This window comes from Homo sapiens, chromosome 2 (genome assembly GCF_000001405.40).
Source record: "Homo sapiens chromosome 2, GRCh38.p14 Primary Assembly".
NCBI classification, from domain to species: domain Eukaryota; kingdom Metazoa; phylum Chordata; class Mammalia; order Primates; family Hominidae; genus Homo; species Homo sapiens.
The window spans coordinates 63,899,737-63,920,052 of record NC_000002.12 but is presented as its reverse complement, the minus strand read 5'-3'; the positions used below and the strand labels follow the sequence as shown (position 1 = coordinate 63,920,052).

The following is a 20,316-nucleotide window of genomic DNA, read 5'->3' as shown; positions in this document are numbered from 1 at the left end:
AGGAAGATGGTATTGAAATGTTAAAGTTTACCTTCTTTTCTCCTTACTGTGGACTAGCCTCCTCTTAGACAATGAGCGCTGGAAGCAAGCAGATGTTCCTGCAGAATTTCAGGATCTTGTTGATTCTCTGTCAGATGGGAAGATTGCTTTACCTGAAAAAAAATCAGGAGGTATGTGTATTCATTCACACATTCTCTTTCAATTTTATATTGTTTATTTATTTTGTATTAATGCTTAATATTTCTTTAGTTGACAATGCCTATTTCAAAGCTAGAACCAATATTTCCAGCTTAGTAAATACTTGACAGGAAAACTATGGTAATTTATAATAATTATTTCAAATATTTATTGCGTGTTATAACCATATGCCAGACACTGGACCATGTTCTTTACATGCATTACTCCAGTTCATTCTCACAACGATCTGTGATACAGGTACTATTGTTTCTTTGTGTAACAGTGAGGAGGCTTGAGGCTTAGAAGGGTTAAGGAATTTTTATACAAATGATGAGTTGGGATTTGAAACCAGCTTTATATAATTTCATAGCTATGTTCTTAGCTACTATACCGTATTGTTTACATACATGAATTGAGTAAGCGCTAGTTAGCTTCTACTTTGTGTCCTATATTGAGACAGAATTGAGACAGAGATAACAGCTGTATTTCTGCTTTAAAGAGGCTAAGTCTAATGAACAAAACCAAAAAATACATAAGCAATCACAAGTAATGTAGTTACATGATAGCGAAAATCCAAACGTAAAGAAAGAAAACCATGAAGGAGACAAAAAAGGAAGAACCAGAGAGGCAGGGAGAAATCTAGAACATAGAAGTAAAATGATGAGAGAGTTTTCATGTGGAAGAGATGGCTGGGAAATATTTTTGTACCCTAGTTCAGGTGGAGTCATCATGTGATAATAATGTAAATTTATTTATAATAGTCCTATAAGATTTACAATTATGAAATTCTTGAGTATTTCTAATAGAGAAGGTAGTTGAACTATTTCAGATTTTATGCATTTAATCAAAGTTTTAAATTGTATACTTCACATTCGCACAAAATGCAACTAGACTACAAGAGAAAGACTTGAGTAAAACACCAACAGTAACCATTAGTTTGATACATAGATCATTTGCAATCTCAGTAATTCAGTGGAGTGATAGTCAAATTGCAGTTCAGTGCTTAGTAACTGGAAAAGTGAGGAAGGGTAGACAAGTATAGCCTACTTTTTCAACAGATTTGGCATGCAGGAAAAGTGAGTGATGAAATAGTAGCTAAAGAAGTTAGAGAGAGAGGGTGATTTACAGGGCAAGGTGCATGGAATCGAATCTAGAGTTTAAGAGAAAGGCTACTACTTCTGCCCCTGTGACAAGGGGAAGAGGGTTAAGGACAAGTATAAAATAGATGAGTTGATATAGGGCAGAGAAAAATTGAAGGAATTAAGTAAATTTTTGTCATATGACAGTTTTTAATAGGTAATAGTGTTGGGTGGTAGAGTTTTCTACTTGATGGTATGATATTGGCACAACTAAAGCATTCAAGTAGCAAGAGCTGATGGAAAAATAAAACTCTGACCACTCCAAATCACTAGTTTAAAATTATAAGACTTATCACTCATCTAGTCTTTCAAGCTATATTTAATTGACTTCCCTCTATGTGAGGTGCTGTGCTAGATGACTAGGATATGTTTTCTGTCCCTGAACAGCTCATGGTCTTTTGATTCCACTGTTAAGCAAACAGAATGATTTCTGAATTAAAATCATAAATGTGGAATAATTGAATTACTCATGTGTTTTGTTTGAAACATGAACTACTTATTTTCACTTCTTTGGAGGATATTGATGGTAGGAGGTTTCTTTTACATACCTTGCTTCATCTCAGTCTTTGTTTTCCTCTCTGAATAGCATAGGTGTATGCTATTAGAAGTCCATTAACATTTTACTAGTTCTTTTCAAGTTAAGGATCCTGGATTATTACCCATTTATCCATGATAAATTAATTGGGTTACTATCCACTCAGCTAGGCATTGGGGAAATGAAGATTAATGGATAGCAGCTAATATTAATTGAGTGTTTACTTACACTGTTTTGTTCTAAGTATTTTACATGTGTTATCTCATTTACAGGTCCATGAGCTAGATATTATTAGTATTCCTATTTTACAAATTTAGAAACTAAGGCACAAAGAGGTTAAGCAACTTGTCTAAGGTTACATAGCTAGGAAGTGGTAGAGCTGGGATTCCAATCCAGGCAGACTGACTTTAGGGCCATTTCTCTTTTCTACGATGCTATGCCACTTCTCTGTAATATAGAGAAGTGATGAAGACACAGTCCTTAACCTCAAAAAATATACTTCTGACATACATAGTAAATTGTGATTGCAATATATATAGCTCTCAAATAGTCAAATATATTTACAAATCCTAAAGGGATTTGAAGCTTAGGGAAGCATAATGAGCTGCCCATGGTAATCTAATCAATTTGGCGTGTCCAGGATAAAATCCAGTCCACTGTTCTTTTCACCTCAATATGCTGAATTTTGTTTAAAGAAATATCACATGCTGAAAATAAAGTAACGTCTGGGTTGAAGTATTAAAAATTAAATATATAATCTTTCCATCAAATTTAGAAATTAACTTGTATTCTATAATGATAATAGTAAAGACAACCAATTTAAATGCTAGTTCTGCCTTTCCAAAACTAATAACTTTTTAAAAAACTATTTGCTGATCATTTACCTTGTGCCAGCCCTAAGGGATAGGCAGTTTGTGATAATTATTTCTACCATTAACAACAACCCTGAAAGATATTGTTGTTCACATTTAATAGATACAGATAGTGATACTCAAAGAGGTTAAATAATTGCCCCAAAGTCATGTATCCAGTAATTGGTAGTACTGGTACTCAAATCCAAATCTCTCCAACTTCCAGTATACTTTATTTACTGTGTGCCAAATAGTTTCCCAGGAAGTAGATGTTTATTTTCAGAAATGAGAGTTTTTGGCCTTAAACAGGAATTATCTTCTTCAGCTTTTTCTCTATTTTGTTTCGTCTGGTACTCTTGTCTCTCGTTTATTTGCTTAACTCTGTAGCCACAGAAGAAAGGAAACCAGCTGAAGTTCTTATTGTCGAGGGACAACAGTATGCAGTTGTTGGGTGAGTGACACATTTTTCTTTAGTAGTTGAGTCAACTATTTAAAACACAAGTCTTCTAGTTCTCCCTTGAAGTGAATTGGAAATTTTGGATTAACAGTTTTAACAGTGTTAAATTTGGATTAACTGTTTTAAATCCTGCAAAGAACTTAAAGGAAACTTTATGGATTTCTTTATCTTCTCTCTTCTGTAGCATACATTATTAAGGACTGCACTGGCTTAACACAAAAAGCTTGATTTTTCTCATATAACAAGAAATCTAGACAACCCAAGAGTAATTGTAGTGGATCCATGATATTATTGCTATCCCAGGCTCTTTCTATCTTTTCTTCTGTTGCTTTCTTAGAATGTATTATAGCATAATAGTTTAAGTTGTGAACTCTGGAACCCACACAATGTGGAAAATAGTACTATACACAGAATTATTGCGAAAATTAAGTAATTCATGTAAAGCATTTAGCACAGGTCTAGCACCTAATAAGTTGATAGTTGTTGGTAGTTATTCTCATTGGCATCATTTGATTCACTAGATCTTTTACCAATAAAAGTATCTCAAATTCAAGTTAACTAAGAAGCATACAAATTCCATCTTTTTTTGTCTAGTACTATGTCTTTTATTAAATTGGTAATTAAAATATATCTTCATATGCTTTAACAGTACTTCACAGCTTAAGTGTTTTCATATATATGTGATCTCATTTGATCTTTACAACTACATTGTAAAATAAAGATATTGGGGATTATTCTTTCCTTTTTCCACTATGAGAATTGAAGCTTAGAAGATTAAGTGGTTCAAGTGACCCAAATGGAGCCAGAATTCAAATCTAGGTCTAACTGCCAATATCTAGCCCAGCATTCTTTTTCACTTTTCTTCTTGTCAAGTGTTTTTTGAAATGACCACCACCTCCAGGAAGAATGTAATTCTATGTTCCTCAATCATGGCACTTACCGTAGTATAATAGAATTGTTTATTTATGTATATGTCTTCTAATTTGACTCTGAATTCCTCAAAGGTAGAGATGAGGTCTTACCGTTTTTATTTTTCTTGGCACCATAATAAGCACTCAAAAAGTATGTATAGAATTAATCCTTTTTCTGTATCTGTATTCAAATACCTGAAGTCCACACATTCTAAACTAAAGCCTCCATTCTTTTCTCTTCTGAAGTCCTTCCCTGTTTCTGGTAGGGAAAGCTTTCTTCAGTCTTCCTGTAATCCCATCCCTTCAATATAATTATGATTTCCCTCCTTAACTACTGGTTATCTGGTCACTCTTCACTTGCTTGATGGATATGGTCCCCTCTGGCCATCTTGCTTTTGGCTCTTTAGGCAGAGAGTCTGTTGCCAAAAAACTAAATTCCCTGGCTAAAGGGGAACTATTACAACTTCTGAGAGACAATTACAAAAGATAAGCAATGGACTCATGCTCATTTAGGCAGACTCTAGGAGAAATAAGCATAGAGACCAGTATGCATATATGGTCTGACAAGGTGTTATAAAGGCTAGACACCATCTTTCTTGAATCATTAGTTCCTGATATCTTTCAGGCTCTTATAAATCCTTATTTTACGTAGATCTTATTTCTGAGCATGTCATTGAACTTAGATATCCTATGATGAATGGCTTTCTCCTTAATTTCAATCTTCTTTAACTTCCCAGTAGTGTGTCTTTTTAACGTGTGATTTGTCCTTCTATGGAGGTGATAACTTTATCATCTTCGGAAAACTTTTTTTTTTTTTTTTTTTTTTTTTTTGAGACGGAGCTTTGCTCTTGTTGCCCAGGCTGGAGTGCCATGGCATGATCTCAGCTCACCACAACCTCCGGCTCCCAGGTTCAAACGATTCTCCTGCCTCAGCCTCCCCAGTAGCTGGGATTACAGATGTGCAGCACCACGCCCAGCTAATTTTGAATTTTTAATAGAGACAGGGTTTCTCCACTGTCAGGCTGGTCTTCTCCATTGTCAGGCTGGTCTCGAACTCCCGACCTCCAGTGATCTGCCTGCCTTGACCTCCCAAAGTGCTGGGATTACAGGTGTGAGCCACCGCGCCCAGCCAGAGAACCTTTTGTGACCTACCAATAAAATTCTTAGGAGACATGTTTTCCTTAGAAGCCATTATAGATTTTTTTTTTTTCCATCTCACTAAGAAAATCTGGACTAGGTTTTCTTCATCAATTCATTAGTTATGATGGAGGACCTACTATGTTGGTAATCAGAAACACTGGATAGGCTTTTTGTCAGTGTTTCTGAATTGGCTAATGAATGCAATACCTGTCTTACTGAAGCGACTCCCTTACTTAATAAGAATGCCATACAGAGAGTATTATGCCTGTTGTACAGAATTTAAGGAGCCACTCATTCTCAGTGTTGTGCAAGCTGATCCTGCAATTGCACAGAGTAAGAGCCTCTTTAAATTTTGCATTCTAGACACCTCTCTTGTCTTGTGTTAGTCAAGAACCTGCTGTACTAGTAGGTAAAATGCATACTTTAACATAGTTACCAAGGTCATTATATTCTCAGAGATCCTTTGTGCCATTAAGTAATTTGATTTTTATATGCCAAATCCTTTTGATTTTTCTTGTTTTGATTTCCTATTGGGCCATTTTTCTTTTCTTGTAGAACCGTATTGCTGTTAATAAGAATTATCCTTGAATATTGCCAGTGTGTGGATAACATCCCATCTGTTACTACTGACATGCTTACTCGTCTGTCAGATTTATTGAAGGTATGTATGACTTCACTCCATTATGGAAAAATTTTTCGAGGAATTAATACATTAGGGTGTGACTAATCTTAACTCAAAGACATTTCAAGGTCAAATTAACTTTAAGACATTAGTTTTATAACATTTGATTGTGGTTGAATCACAACATGTTATTGGAAACAGGCTGCCTGCTTCCTTCTTACTCCACAGTTAGTGATCCTCATTCACCCATAGAGTTGTTAATGACATTGGAGACAGGAGATGATTTGTTCGTTAGGTGCTGAACATGACTGAGGCCACTTAGGTCAAAAAACCTGGACTGGCTTCAAATGTGCATGGAAGGAATTCACTGAACTTTACAAAATTCATCTCACTAAGGTTAGAGATTTTTCTTGCATCATTCTTTCAGAACCATTGATATAAAATGAAAATGTGATGATTTTATTCAGCCATTTCATATTGAGATATTTTAAACTACCAGTACGGAGGAAATGCTTTATTATTTTTTTCAAACCTCTAATCTGTTAATTATGTTCTGACTTGAGTTGTCATGTTTTAGCCAAGACAGATTTTTATAACTTTTGAAAATAGGACTTCCCAACAAGAATGACTGAAACCGAATTTGTTTTGTACATGCAAATTAAAGATTAATTTCTGCGAACTGATTTTTAGAATTTTTCAACTTTTTTCTTATCAGTAAATATTATCATTTAGAATCTCCCCTTCTCATTTCTTTTTCATTAAATAAATAGATACTAATTGCTTCTACTAGATAATTCATTTGGCCATTGAATGAGAGGAAAGGGGAATGTATTTTTATAATAGCACATTGCCAGGATATAAAGAACAGTTTTTAGTAAATTTTGGGGTTTTTTTCTCCTTCTTTTGTTAGTACTTCAATTCAAGAAGTTGCCAGTTAGTTCTTGGAGCTGGTGCACTGCAAGTTGTTGGACTAAAAACGATAACTACAAAAAATTTGGGTATGGATTCTTGCGTTTAATTCACTTGCTGAAGTGTTAACAGTGATGTCACTGTTCTCATCATGTTTTTTTATACCTCATGTTTTCATGGCTCTAACCAAAGTGGCATTACTCTAAAAATAAATGCTACTTACTCTTTTATGTATACTCATCACTGAAAAAAACTAACCATGGGGAAAAGGTTACGATGCATTTCCCCTCCAAGTATAAGTTACTTGGAAGTTACACCACTCTAGAAAATATTAAGATATAATGTGTATAAAGTATTTGGGGGTGAAAGCTATCTGAATGTCATAAGAGAATCAGTTGTCTTGTTATTGTGATACTGATAATACTCACAACTTGAGTCCTTTGTGAAAGCAGCATGTTCATTACATTATTCAGTATCAAATTATTAGACAAAATGAAATATGTTGCCTTCTGCCATAGGGCTCTTCGTTTATGAAATAAACTGGTTCTTTATAAGTGATGTTTTTTATTTGATTTGATTTGTAATTAAAATCAACTAATACCTTTTTTTTTTTTATTTCTCCATTATATATCTACTCCCTGGATCTTCAGCTCTTTCTTCACGATGTTTGCAGTTAATTGTGCACTACATTCCTGTGATCCGGGCTCATTTTGAAGCTCGACTACCACCTAAGCAATATAGCATGCTTAGGCATTTTGATCATATCACTAAGGTACTTTTTCATATATTTTCTATTGGCGTTTCATAAGTTTAGATCCTTAATTGTTAAGTATTTTAAAAATGTGTCCCAGGGACTTAAAAATACAATTATCATTTCTCATTGCAGGACTACCATGATCACATAGCTGAAATATCAGCTAAGCTTGTAGCGATAATGGATAGCTTATTTGACAAGCTGTTATCTAAGGTAATGATTTATAGAAATTATTAGACTTTGTTCAAAGACATTATGATTTTCTATTTTATAAGGAGTACTTTATAAATTAAGATGTGAAAAGATAATCTAAACTTTCATAGGATATTTACCAATTAGTAGAATTTTAAATTTTTTTTCAGGAAAATGTGACCATGTGCTGTGACCAAGACCCCCCATAGTGGTCTAACCTGCAGTTATCTAACAAATTATTCAGGGTTTAGAAAACAACTCAACAAAATTTTCGGATTTCCAAAACAGTTGATATTCTAAGGGGCTGGCAGGAGTAGGAGAGATGATTCTAAGGATGGTAGAAATCCTATGCAGAAGTATTTTTATGTTAATTCATTTCAACATTCATTTCTTGTTTGTTTTTCATTCCCAATATGTCATTAAATGAAGCAGTGTTCCCCAAAGAATTCGCAGTTATACTGGGAGAGTATCTTCAGAAAAATATCATTTAGTCAGCCCCAATCACGCTTGATCTATCTTTCACTGTTTACTTTCCCTAAGTTTTTCAATTCACGTCTTAGTGGGAAAGCCAAAATTTCGTAACTTGAAAGTCTGAAAGTTTACTCAGTGTATACTGTCTGTCCAAGATCATATTTGGAATAACCTTAATAGCAAAGAACTTTGATTTGCTTTTTATCCTACTTGCATCCTTCAGATTCCGAAATGGCAGGAACAGCAGGTACATAAGAATCAAAAGGGCAAGATAAAGTGGTGTCCATTCACTCACACACAAGACTACCCAAACACATATTCTATTAGCCTTCAGAATAATGATATCACAAGTCATCTAAAAATCCCCACTGTTCAATCATGAGAGAATGAGAGTAAAATAGATAAATAGCATCTTATTAATAATATTATTATGAAAGCGGCTTTTACTTCCCAGATTCCTGGAAAGGGTCTCTGACTTCTGGGAATCCCCAGACTACACTACACCTCTGGTGTAGTTGGTAATACAGGTGTTTTATGCTTCACTTTTAAGAAGCTTAAGGAATTTGTATTTATGTACAAACATACCTATACTATGTTATGCCTATTTAAATTAGTTTCTAGTTGTGAAGGGAGAAAAATTACTGTTTAGAGATGCTTTATTTTCTTCACTGGTGCCAAGTACAAGCTACATTCAAAAGCAATTCTATTCTACCAGTTTCCTTTTTGATATACAGCATTCTTCTGTGTACCAAAAGTCGGTAACATATTGTGTCTGCTCTCAAGAAGCTTACCATCTAACAAGGTTAGAAGACTGTAAACAGCTAACAGTGGAGAATAGAATATATGTTAAATAGTGGAACTAGGCTGGGAATAGTGGAACTATGCTTGAGTCCAGGAGTTCCAGCCTGCAGTGAGCTGTGATCACCCCACTGCACTCCAGTCTAGGTGACAGAGCAAGACCCGGTCTCTAAAACAAACAAACAAAAATAGTGGAACAATTAATAGGCTGTGGAATACAATGAAGAAAAACCAAAGATGTGCTAGTACTCTTAAAACTCTGACTTTAGTCTGTCACTTTGGTCATCCACAGAGTTTTTGAATAAGAATTGTCACAGTGACTAGACTTTTTCCTATGACAACTTACTTTTTTTTTCTGTAAAGAAAAAAGAGAATTGTTTAATTAACTTCCCATGTATGCATGACCTATATTCGTTATTAACAATTTGCCTTTTTTGCTAAAATATTTTATAATAAATTTGAGGCATTATGGTATTTTATCCCTAAATACCTAAGTATGCATTTTTAAAAACTAAGAACATTTTTACATAACCACACTATTATCACACCTAACAAAATTGATAATTCCTCAAAATCATCTAATATTTATTCTCCTATTTGAAACTTATTAATTGTCCCAAAAATGTCTTTTTATAATAATTTGTTTGGACAAAGGCTTCTACACGGTTCACAGATTGCATTTGGTTATTACGTCTCTTAAGTCTTATAAACTAGAACACGCCCCTCCTCATTTAAAAAAATATATATCATTGACCCGTTGAAGAATATGGCCAGGCTTTTATAACATAATGTTCTCTCTAGTATCTTCTCCATTGATGACTTTTCCTATTACTCTGGCATATTACATTCTTCCTGTGTTAACAAGTCTCTCTTTGCCACTCCCTATTCTGTTTGCTTTCATGTGTTGCTCAGGAGTTTGACCCTGTTTTTAATTAATATCAAAATAGCAGACAGTGTTTGGTTTGGGTTTGCCTTTCAGTTTTTAACCTTTCATGTTCTAATCTGAAAATATAATTTTAGGAAAGGATGACACAATAACATATGGGTTGATTCTAAGAAGCTAATAAGTGGCCAGGCACGGTGGCTCAAGCCTGTAATCCCAGCACTTTTGGGAGGCTGAGGCAGGTGGATCACCTGAGGTCAGGAGTTCAAGACCAGCTTGGCCAATATGGTGAAACCCTGTCTCTACCAAAAATACAAAAAAATTAGCCAGGCGTGGTGGTGGGCACCTGTAATCCCAGCTACTCGGGAGGCTGAGGCAGGAGAGTTGCTTGAACTCAGGAAGCAGAGGTTGCAGTGAGCCGAGATGGCACCATTGCACTCCAGCCTAGGCAACAAGAGTGAAACTCTGTCTCAAAAAAAAAAAAAAAACCAAAAACGGCCAGGCGAGGTCGCTTACGTCTATAATCCCAGCACTTTGGGAGGCCGAGGTGGGTGGATCGTGAGGTCAGGAGTTCAAGACCAGCCTGGCCAAGATGGTTAAACCCTGTCTCTACTAAAAATACAAAAATTAGCCGGGCATGGTAGTGGGTGCTTGTAATCCCAGCTACCCGGAGGCTATGGCAGAGAATTGCTTGAACCCACGAGGCGGAGGTTGCAGTGAGCCAAGATCACGCCACTGCACTCCAGCCTAGGTGACAGAGTGAGACTCCATCTCAAAAAAAAAAAAAAAAAAAAAAAAAAGGCAGCTAATAAGTAAGGGTACCATTGCCTGGGTAGGATGAAACAATATCTAATTGTACTAACAGCTAGACTAATGTTCCAACCACCATTCATTTATTCATTCATTCTGTAAGTTATGTATTAATATAAACTGTTTTGTTCAGTATCAGGGATACACAAGGGTGAATAAGCCTTTGATCTTGTCCTCCAATAGCAAAATATTTGTCAGGGAAGTACATCAATAACTATGACAGGATGTAGGATATATGTAAAGTGTTACAAATAAGGAGCTAATTTAGTGCTGGAGCTTTTAAGGCTTTGGAAGAGATGGTGTCAGCTGGTGAAGGAGATCTGGGAAAGTTTTATGAATGAGGCATGCATGTAAATTTTGCTTTTAAGGATAGATAAGATGAGGGCAAATGAAGTTGAGGAGAACAGATCTCTGAGATAACAGCATAAGCAAACATGTTGGTAGAAATTTTAAGGCAATTCATTGTCAGGGTTTTGGAGTCAGGTAGACCTAAATTCAAATCCCATGTCTGTCACATACTAGCTATTGAAGGACCTTGGGCAAATTATTAATCTCCTTAAGCCTCAGTTTCTGCCTCTAAAGAGGATAATAGTGGAGCCTACTTCATACAGTTGTATTAATGAGATAATATATGTGGATTGCTTTCCTTTTATCATGTATCTGACTATAGCAAGTTCTAGTAAATATTGACTGCTAATGCTTTTGCTGTTGCTGTTACTAATAATAAAGGTAATAGTTCCATTTGGCTAATGCATCAGAGTGGGCACACATGAGTGGGAGATATGGTGGAAAGATAATAGAGCGCTGTGACTACCAGTAGAAAACTAAGCAATTCATATCAGGTTTATTGAGGTATAATTTACAGTCAGTAAAATTCACCTTTTCTAAGTGTATGTATACTATCTGTATCTAAATACAGATAGTATAACTGCAAGTTATAGAACATCATTGGTAAGCATTCTCTTGGGCACTTTTGTAGTCAGTTCACTCCCCATACTCAGCCTCTGAAAGCTACTGATCTGATATTTGTCCATGTAGTTTTGCCTTTTCCAGAATATCCTCTAAGTAGAATTATACAGAATGTAGTCTACTGTGCCACACTTCATTTAACATAATGTTTTTGGAGTTCATGGATGTTACAGCATGTGTCAGTGGTTTGTTCCGTTTTATTATAGAGTAGTATTCATTGTATGGATTCACTGCTATTTGTTTATCCATTCACCAATTGATAGACATTTGAATTTTCTCCAGTTTTTGGCTGTTATGAAGAAAGCTGTTATAAGCTTACATGTACAGTCTTTGTGTAGGTATGTGTTTACATTTCTTTAGTATAAATACCTTGGAATAAGATTGGCAATTGTGGATTATGGAAATATAAAATTTTATGGTAACTTTATAAGAAACTGCAAAATTTTTCTAAAATTTTCTAAAACGCATCATTTTGCCTTTTTACTTGCCATGTAGAAGAGTTCCAGGTGCTCTTCACCATCACTTTATTTTTTAATGTTCGTCCTCTTGTAGGTGTGTATGGAGTGATACTCATTGTGGTTTTAAGTTACATAATTACAGATATGTTAAGCATCTTTTCATGTGCTTGTTTGCCATTCATATCTTTGGTAAAGTGTCTGCTCAGATTTCTTGCTCATTTAAAAATATTAGGTTGTTTGTCTTATAAGTGTTCCTTATATATCTTAGATACAAATTCTGTATCAGTATGTGGTTTCTAAGTATTTTCTCCCAGTTTGTGGCTTGTCTTCTCCTTTCATGAACAGTGTCTTAGAGCAATTTTTGATTTTGATGAAATTCAGTTTATTTATTTATTTTCTGTTCATGCTGCTTGTGTCCTATCCTGAGAAATCTTTTCTTTTCTTTTTTTTTTTTTTTTGAGATGGAGTTTCTCTCTTGTTGCCCAGGCTGGAGTGCAATGGCGCGATCTCAGCTCACCGCAACCTCCGCCTCCCGGGTTCATGCTATTCTTCTGCCTCAGCCTCTTGAGTAACTGGGATTACGGGCATGCACCACCACGCCCAGCTAATTTTATATTTTTAATAGAGACGAGGTTTCTCCATGTTGGTCAGGCTGGTCTCAAACTCCCGACCTCAGGTGATCTGCCCACCTCGGCCTCCCAAAGTGCTGGGATTACAGGCATGAGCCACTGCGTCCGGCCAAGAAATCTTTGTATAACCCAAGTTACAAAGATATTCTCCAATTTTTTTTCTAGAATGTTATTGTTTTAGGTTTTATATTTAAGGCTATGATTCATTTCTAGTTGATATTTATATATAATGCAAAGTATAAGTCAGTGTTCATTTTTCATAGTTCCAGCACCTTTTGTTAAAAAGACTATCATTTCTCCACTGGCACCTTTGTTAAAAATCAACTGTTTTTGTTTGGTTTTGAGATTATATTCTGTTCCAGTACCACACTGTCTTAGCTACTCCAGCATTATTGTAAATCTTGAAATAAGATAATGTGAGCTCACTAATTTTGTTCTTTTTCAAAATTGTTTTGGCTATTCTAGGTCCTTAGCTTTTCCCTATAAAATTTTATATCAGCTTATCAAATACTACCAAAAAGGCTGCTCAGATTTTGATTGAAATTGCGTTGAATGTATAGATCAGTTGGGGTGAAATTGACATTATTGGGTCTCCTGATCCACAAACAAGGTATATCCAGTTTTGTACCAGAGCCAGATTGCACCTGCTAGCCAGAAACTATGTTGTGTATCTCTTCCCAATACTACATTCAGTAACAGCACACTGGTAACTTTGCCAGTGGTGTGAATATTTACACCATGGAAATTAACAAATACTACAAACCAGTGCTTTTCCCCCAGTGAGCCCATTAAATGTTTACCACACACCACTGGACCTATCTCTTTACTCCTTACATCTTTAATTTCTTTGATCAAAATTTTGTATTTTTCAGTAAACAGATAATGCACACATTTTATAAGTATTTCTTCATTTTTGATGCTATTGTACATGGTATCTTTTTTTAAGATTTACGTTTCCAATTATTCAATGCTAATATATTGAAACACCTTGGATTTTTCTATATTAACTTTGTGTCCTGCATCCTTGCTAAACTCACATATTAGTTACAATGCCAATTTTGTAGATTCTTTGGGATTTTTCTGCATACACACTCATGTTGTCTGCAAATAGAATCTTGCATCTTTTTCAATCTGTATACCTTTTATTTCTTTTCCTTGCTTTATGGCACTGGCTAGGACTTTCAGCACAACGTTGAATAAAATTGGTGAAAACAGATATGCTTGGTTTCTCCAGTCTTGGGACAAAATGTTCAGTCTTTAACCATTAAGTATGATGTTAGCTGTAGGTTTTTTTTAAGAGGCCTTTATCAGGTTAAGGAAGATTCTTTCTGTTCAAGTTTGCTAAGAGGTTTATATGATGAACAGATGTTGAATTTTGTCAAATACTTTTTGTGCATCTGTTGAGATGATCATATGGTCTGCATTTCTTAGTCTGAAGAAATTAATTTCTAAATTTCTAAATATTTTAGGATTGCCTTTAGGATTGCCAAGGTGAATTACCTTCATTGATTTTTTAAGGTTGAGCCAACCTTGCATTCATAGGATAAACCTACTTAAGGATTTTTTTGTGTGGTGGAGGGGTATTATGAAGGATATTGGTCTATAGGGTTATTTGTTTTGTTTTGAAGTGCCTATTTGATTTTGGTATCAGAGTAATACTGGACTCATAAAATGAGTTGGACAGTATTCTTCCTCCTATATTTCCTGGAAGAAGAATTTGTGGGGAGTTGGTATTATTTTTTCCCCAAGTTTTAGGTTAGAATTTACCCGTAAAGCCATTTGGTCTTTGTTCTTACTTTACAGGCAGGTTTTTAATAAGTTCATTAAAAAAAAAATACATATAGAACTATGTGGGTAATCTACTTGAGTACACTTTGGAAGTTTGTTTCTTTGAATGGATTTATCTATTTCATCTGTTATTAACTTGGAAGCATTAACTTGTATATGATATTCTTTTATTCTTTTAATGTCAGTGAGGATCTGTATTATCTGCTGTTTCTTTCATGATATTGGTAATGATGTTAATTTATAAAGTCTTCCTCACCTCCCCCTTTCTGGCTAGAAGTTTATCACATGTTTTGATCTTTTAGTAAAAGTAAATATTTCCTGCTCTTTTTCTGCTTTTTATTTTCCTGCTCCAGTCTGTGTTATTTATTTTCTATTTTCTTTTAACTTGCTTTGGATTTAATTTGCTGTTTTCTAATTTCTCAAGGTAGAAGCCCAGATTTTTGATTTGAGACCTTTCTTTTCCTTTTTTGAATATAAGCATTTGATAATCTGTGTTTTCCTTTATGTACTGCTTTTGCTGTGTCCTGCAAATTTTGATACTTTGTGCTTTTATTTTTATTTATTTCAAAATATTTTCTAATTGCTCTTGTGATTCTTCTTTGGCCTTGGGTTATTTGGAAATCTGTTACTTAATTTCTAAATATTCTAGGATTTTTCCAGCAATCTTTGTTTTGATCTCAAGTCTAATTCTGTTTTGGTCAGCAAACAGACTTTATGTGACTCCAGTTATTTTATGTCTAAGATTTCTTTTGTGGCCCAGAATGTGGCCAAAGAATATCTTGGCTAATGTTCCACATGCACATGAAAACAATGTGTATTTTGCTGTTGCTGGGTAGAGTGTCCTGTGTATATCAACTAAGTGGTGTTGGTTGGTAGTGTTATTTAGGTCTTTTCTGTCCTTACTGATTTTCTGTCTACTTCTTATATCAATTACTGAGAGATGAGCACTGAAGTTTTTTACTGTAATTGTAAATTTGTCTGTTTTTGTGTTCAGATCTTTGCAAGTTTTTGTTATATGTATCTTGAAGTTCTATTGCTGGATACATGCACATTTAGGATTACTATGTTTTCTTAATATTTATTTTGTGATCTCCCTTTTTTTTTTTTTTTTTTTTTTTTTTGAGACCAAGTCTTGCTCTGTTGCCTGGGCTGGAGTGCAGTGGTGCAATCTTGGCTCACTGCAACCTATGCCTCCCAGGTTCAAGTGATTCTCCTGCCTCAGCCTCCTGAGTAAGTGGGATTACAGGTGCCTGCCACCACGCCCAGCTAATTTTTGTATTTTTAGTAGATGTGCGGTTTCACCATGTTGGCCAGGCTGGTCTCAATTCCTGACCTCAAGTGATCCGCCCACCTCGGCCTTCCAAAGTGCTGGGATTACAGGCGTGAGCCACCACGTCCGGCCTGTGATATCCTTTTTATGGCTGGTTATGTTCCTTTTTTTGAAGTGCATATTATCTAATACAAATGTAACCATTCCAATTTTTTTGAATAGTGTTTTTATAGTGTTTCTCTTACTATCCTTGTGTTTTTAACATATCTATGCCTTATTTAAAGTTAGTTTCTTATACCCAGAATGAAGCTGGATCTTGCTTTTTTCCCTTAGTCTGACAATTACTGTCTTTCATTGACCTATTAAACCATTTAAATTGTTTTTATATAGTTAGATTTAAATCTGTCATCTTGCTAGCTGTCTTCTGTTTGTTCCTTCTGTTCTTTGACTGATTTTCCCCTTTTTTCAGATTAAATGTTTTTTATAGTTTTATTTTGTTTAATCTTTAAAGTTGGTGTACTAGCTATATTTCTGTTTGTTTCTAGTGGCTGCTCTAGGGATTATAACATACATCTTTCAGTTTACCTTTAAATAATATGACATTACTTCCCTGATTGTGTAAGAACTTTATGACAGGATACCTGTTTTCTCTCTCTCCTGCTGTGTGCTATTATTGTCATACATTTTACTTCTACGTATTTTATAAAACCTGTGATACCTTGCCACTGTTTTTGCTTTAGATTATCAGTTATCTTTTAAAGTGATAAAAATGAGGAAAACAATGCCTTTTATATTTATCCTCATTTTTATGAAAAAATGAGGATAAATTTTTGGAGTTCTTCATTACTTTGCTTGGATCCATCCGATACCATACTGCCTGAAAACATTCCACTCATATTTCTTGTGAATGTATCTGCCAGCAATGAATCATCTCAGTTTTTGTTTGAAAAAGCCTGTATTTTCTCTTCACTTTTCAAAGATATTTTTGCTAGATGTAGAATTCAGTTCAGTTGTCTTCTGGCTCGCATAGTTTTCAACAAGAAGTCTGCTGTAATTCATTGTTTTTTGCTCTATTTGCCTTCAAAATATTGTCTTTGATTTTCAGCAGTTTCACTATGATGTGTCTAAGTTCTGTGTGTTTTTGATCATGCTTGAGTTTCTTCTGCACTTCTTGGACCTGTTGTGTGTTTCCTTTTTTATAGTTTCAATTTCTCTCTTGAGATTTCGGTTTCATTAGATCCTTTAACATGTTAATCAGTTATTTTATTTTTGTTATGTTATGTTGTGTTATGTTATGTTATGTTATGTTGTTATGTTATTTTTTGAGACAGTCTCACTCTTTCGCCCAGGCTGGAGCACAGTTGCATGATCTCAGCTCACTGTGACCTCCACCTCCTGAGTTTAAGCAATTCTCAGGTCTCAGCCTCTGGAGTAGCTGGGATTATAGGCATGCACCACCACACCCAGCTAATTTTCATATTTTTAGTAGAGATGGGGTTTTGCCATGTTGGCCAGGCTGGTCTGAACTCCTGACTTCAGGTGATCCACCCGCCTCAGCCTCCCAAAGTGGTGGGAATACAGGCTTGAGCCACTGTGCCCGGCCTAATCAGTTATTTTTATATCTCCCTCTAATCGTTTCAACATCTGGATTCTCTCTCAGTCTGGTTCTGTTGGTTGCTTTATTTCTTGACAGTGGGATATTGTTTTCTTTTTTGTATATTTTGTTTTTTTTTTAATTAAATGCTGAACCTTGTATGTAGAAGAACAGTAGAGACTGTGAGGTAAATAGTGTTTATGCATGGAAATGGACATGCCTCTTCTGTCAGGCTATGTTTGTTATGGTTTGAATCAAGTTATTCAATAACCAAGCTAGGTGTCTGTTTTGTTGTTGCTGCTGTTACCCTTAGTATGCCAGAGGCTTCCAACTCCTTCAGTAGTAGGCTGCTACTACCTTGTGTTTAATGTAGGGCCTGAGGTGTTGTTAGAGGGTTTTTCTCAGTGTTGGTTTCACCCTCATCTTTTAGTCATCTCTGTACATCTCCACTACAGAATAGGAGTCTTTCTCCAGACTCTCATTGCTAGGCTCTTAAGGGTAATAGGGGAAATGCTTGTTCTTCTTGTCTGGTCTCCATCTTAGGTAGAGCCTGTATCCCTGGCCTTGAATGTGGAGCCCATACTTCTGCTCTCAACTTCTGCTGGTGCAAGATCCTGGGCTTCAGGTGTTTTTGTCCCTTTCTTCAGCAGCAGGCATGTTTTTTCATTTTGTTTTATTTTGAGACGGAGTTTTGCTCTTGTCTCCCAGGCTGGAGTGCAATGGTGTGATCTCAGCTCACTGCAACTTCTGCCTCCCGGGTTCAAGCAATTCTGCTGCCTCAGCCTTCCAAGTAGCTAGGATTACAGGCATGCACCACCATGCCCAGCTAATTTTGTATTTTTAGTAGAGACAGGGTTTTACCATGTTGGCCAGGCTGGTCTCAAACTCCTGACCTCAGGTGATCCACCCTCCTTGGTCTCCCAAAGTGCTGGAATTACAGGCATGAGCCACCATGCCCGGCCCAGGAGCAGGCATGTTTTGTTCCTGGCTTCACACCGTGACCCCAGTGGTGAGAGTTTGGTGCCCCTTCTCAGTGACTTAGGCCTTTTACTTTGTATGAGAATAGGGTTTGGGGGAAATGGATGATGGCATTTGTTTCTATTTCCTTGTGGCAACTAATCACCTCCTGAATACCTGTGCTACTGGGAGTGGATCTATATGATCTTCTCCCTTTGATCCTCCTGTTTCTTCTGAGTACCTCCTGGAGGCCGTGAAGTAAAACTTGTGCATGAGTGCAGACTCTCCTTATGGCTAGGGTTTTCAGTTATCCTAAATATATCCTAGCCCACGTTTGGCCTTTAAGAATTTGTTAAAATTTTACTTATTTTCATCTTACTTGCTTCTCTTGTGGTTACCTCTTCTTTTTATGCTCTGCCAAAAGTGAGACAGTTCCTGTGTATCACCTCTCCTCAGAGGGCCTTTTCAGTCTTTGGAATTAGTTCCCCTGATCTCTGTTCTCTGATGTATGGTCTTACAGATTATCTGTTTTTTGTATTGTTAAGGTAGTAGCAATGTTCTATTGCAGCTTTCTAAATTTTAAATAAAAGTAGAACCGAAAAGTTTTTTAATGAATTAATCATACGATTAGAATGGTACTTTAGAAGTATTAATCAGATAGTGTATAAAACGGATTTGAGGTCGGACGTGGTGGCACACGCCTGTAATCCCAGCACTTTGGGAGGCCGAGGCTGGTGGATCACGAGGTCAGGAGATCAAGACCATCCTGGCCAACATGGTGAAACCCTGTCTCTACTAAAAACAAAAAATTACCTGGGCGGGGTGGCAAGTACCTGTAGTCCCAGCTACTCGGGAGGCTGAGGCAGGAGAATCACTTGAACCTGGGAGGCAGAGGTTGCAATGAGCTGAGATTGCACCACTGCACTCCAGCTTGTCATCAGAGTGAGACTCTGTCTCAAAAAATCAAAAAAAACAAACAAAAAAAACCAGATTTGAGATGATATGGCCTGTCCTCTACCTGGAATATTTTCACCTGTTTATTTTCCCTTTGAAGACTGAACACCTCAGGTGGGCAGCTCGGGAAGCCATTAGACATCATTATGTAAATATCCTTCACTTGAGTTCCTATAGCGTTCCTTGTCCACTTTTTGGAACACCAACCAGCTTTTAGACAGTTATCTCCCCAAAGGGAGATATAGTATTTAGCCCAAATTTGTCTTATAAATAAAACGGTATATAACTTCAGCTGTGTGAATTCTAAAATATAAGCTAAAAGATGGCTTTTAAAGTCATACTACCATATTGTTTCATATGTAAGAATAGTAAAATGAATTTACCTAAGTTTAAATTTTTAGCACAGAACATTGCTGAAAAAAATCCTCCTTTTAATGTTAGGGTAAAATATTACTATATTGACCCACCTACAAAATAAAAAACATATTTATTCTGCCAGATTTTTCTGTTGATTTCAGATACGATCATACTGACACATTCTTTTTTTTTTTTTTTTTTTTTTTTGAGACAGAGTTTCACTCTTGTCGCCCAGGCTGGAGTGCAGTGGTGCGATCTTGGCTCACTGCAACCTGCACCTCCCAGGTCCAAGCAATTCTCCTGTCTCAGCCTCCTGAGTAGCTGGGATTGCAGGTGCCTGCCACCATGCCCCAGCTAATTTTTAAATTGTTTAAAACGTAATCTGTTTATTTGGAGTGGCTATATTGTATATTGAGCCAGATTAGTAGCTAACAATTTTTTGAGTACTTACTTTGTATCAAGCACTGTCTTGCTTTCTTATGAGTCCTCTTTTTTAATCCTCACAGCAGCCCTTTGGGATAGATAAATTAAATAACTTGCCCAACATCACCTAGCTTAGAATGGGAGGAGCTGGGATCTGAACCCAGCAGTCTGTTCTAAGATTGGAAGCAGGCTTTGTTCTTAGTCACTGAGCTATTTTAGTTCCTTCAAAGTGAATTAAGATGTTGAATGAAAAGTTCTCAAGATTTGT

At 36.0% G+C, this 20,316-nt stretch overlaps 1 protein-coding gene across 8 annotated transcripts in view; it reads left to right on the top strand.

Annotated features, from left to right (window-relative positions):
* Window positions 1-20,316, top strand: part of VPS54 (VPS54 subunit of GARP complex) — a 127,279-nt gene that overhangs the window by 99,376 nt on the left and 7,587 nt on the right. For 7 of the 8 annotated variants that reach the window (XM_017004316.2, NM_001005739.2, NM_016516.3 and 4 more), the window contains 6 exons: window positions 58-170; window positions 3,090-3,153; window positions 5,766-5,871; window positions 6,743-6,830; window positions 7,392-7,513; window positions 7,628-7,708. In XM_017004316.2, the coding sequence (XP_016859805.1) occupies window positions 58-170; window positions 3,090-3,153; window positions 5,766-5,871; window positions 6,743-6,830; window positions 7,392-7,513; window positions 7,628-7,708 (574 nt within the window). Of the gene's footprint in view, window positions 1-57; window positions 171-3,089; window positions 3,154-5,765; window positions 5,872-6,127; window positions 6,229-6,742; window positions 6,831-7,391; window positions 7,514-7,627; window positions 7,709-20,316 lie in introns of those variants that run through there. The other variant, XR_007076389.1, reaches the window with a different exon arrangement.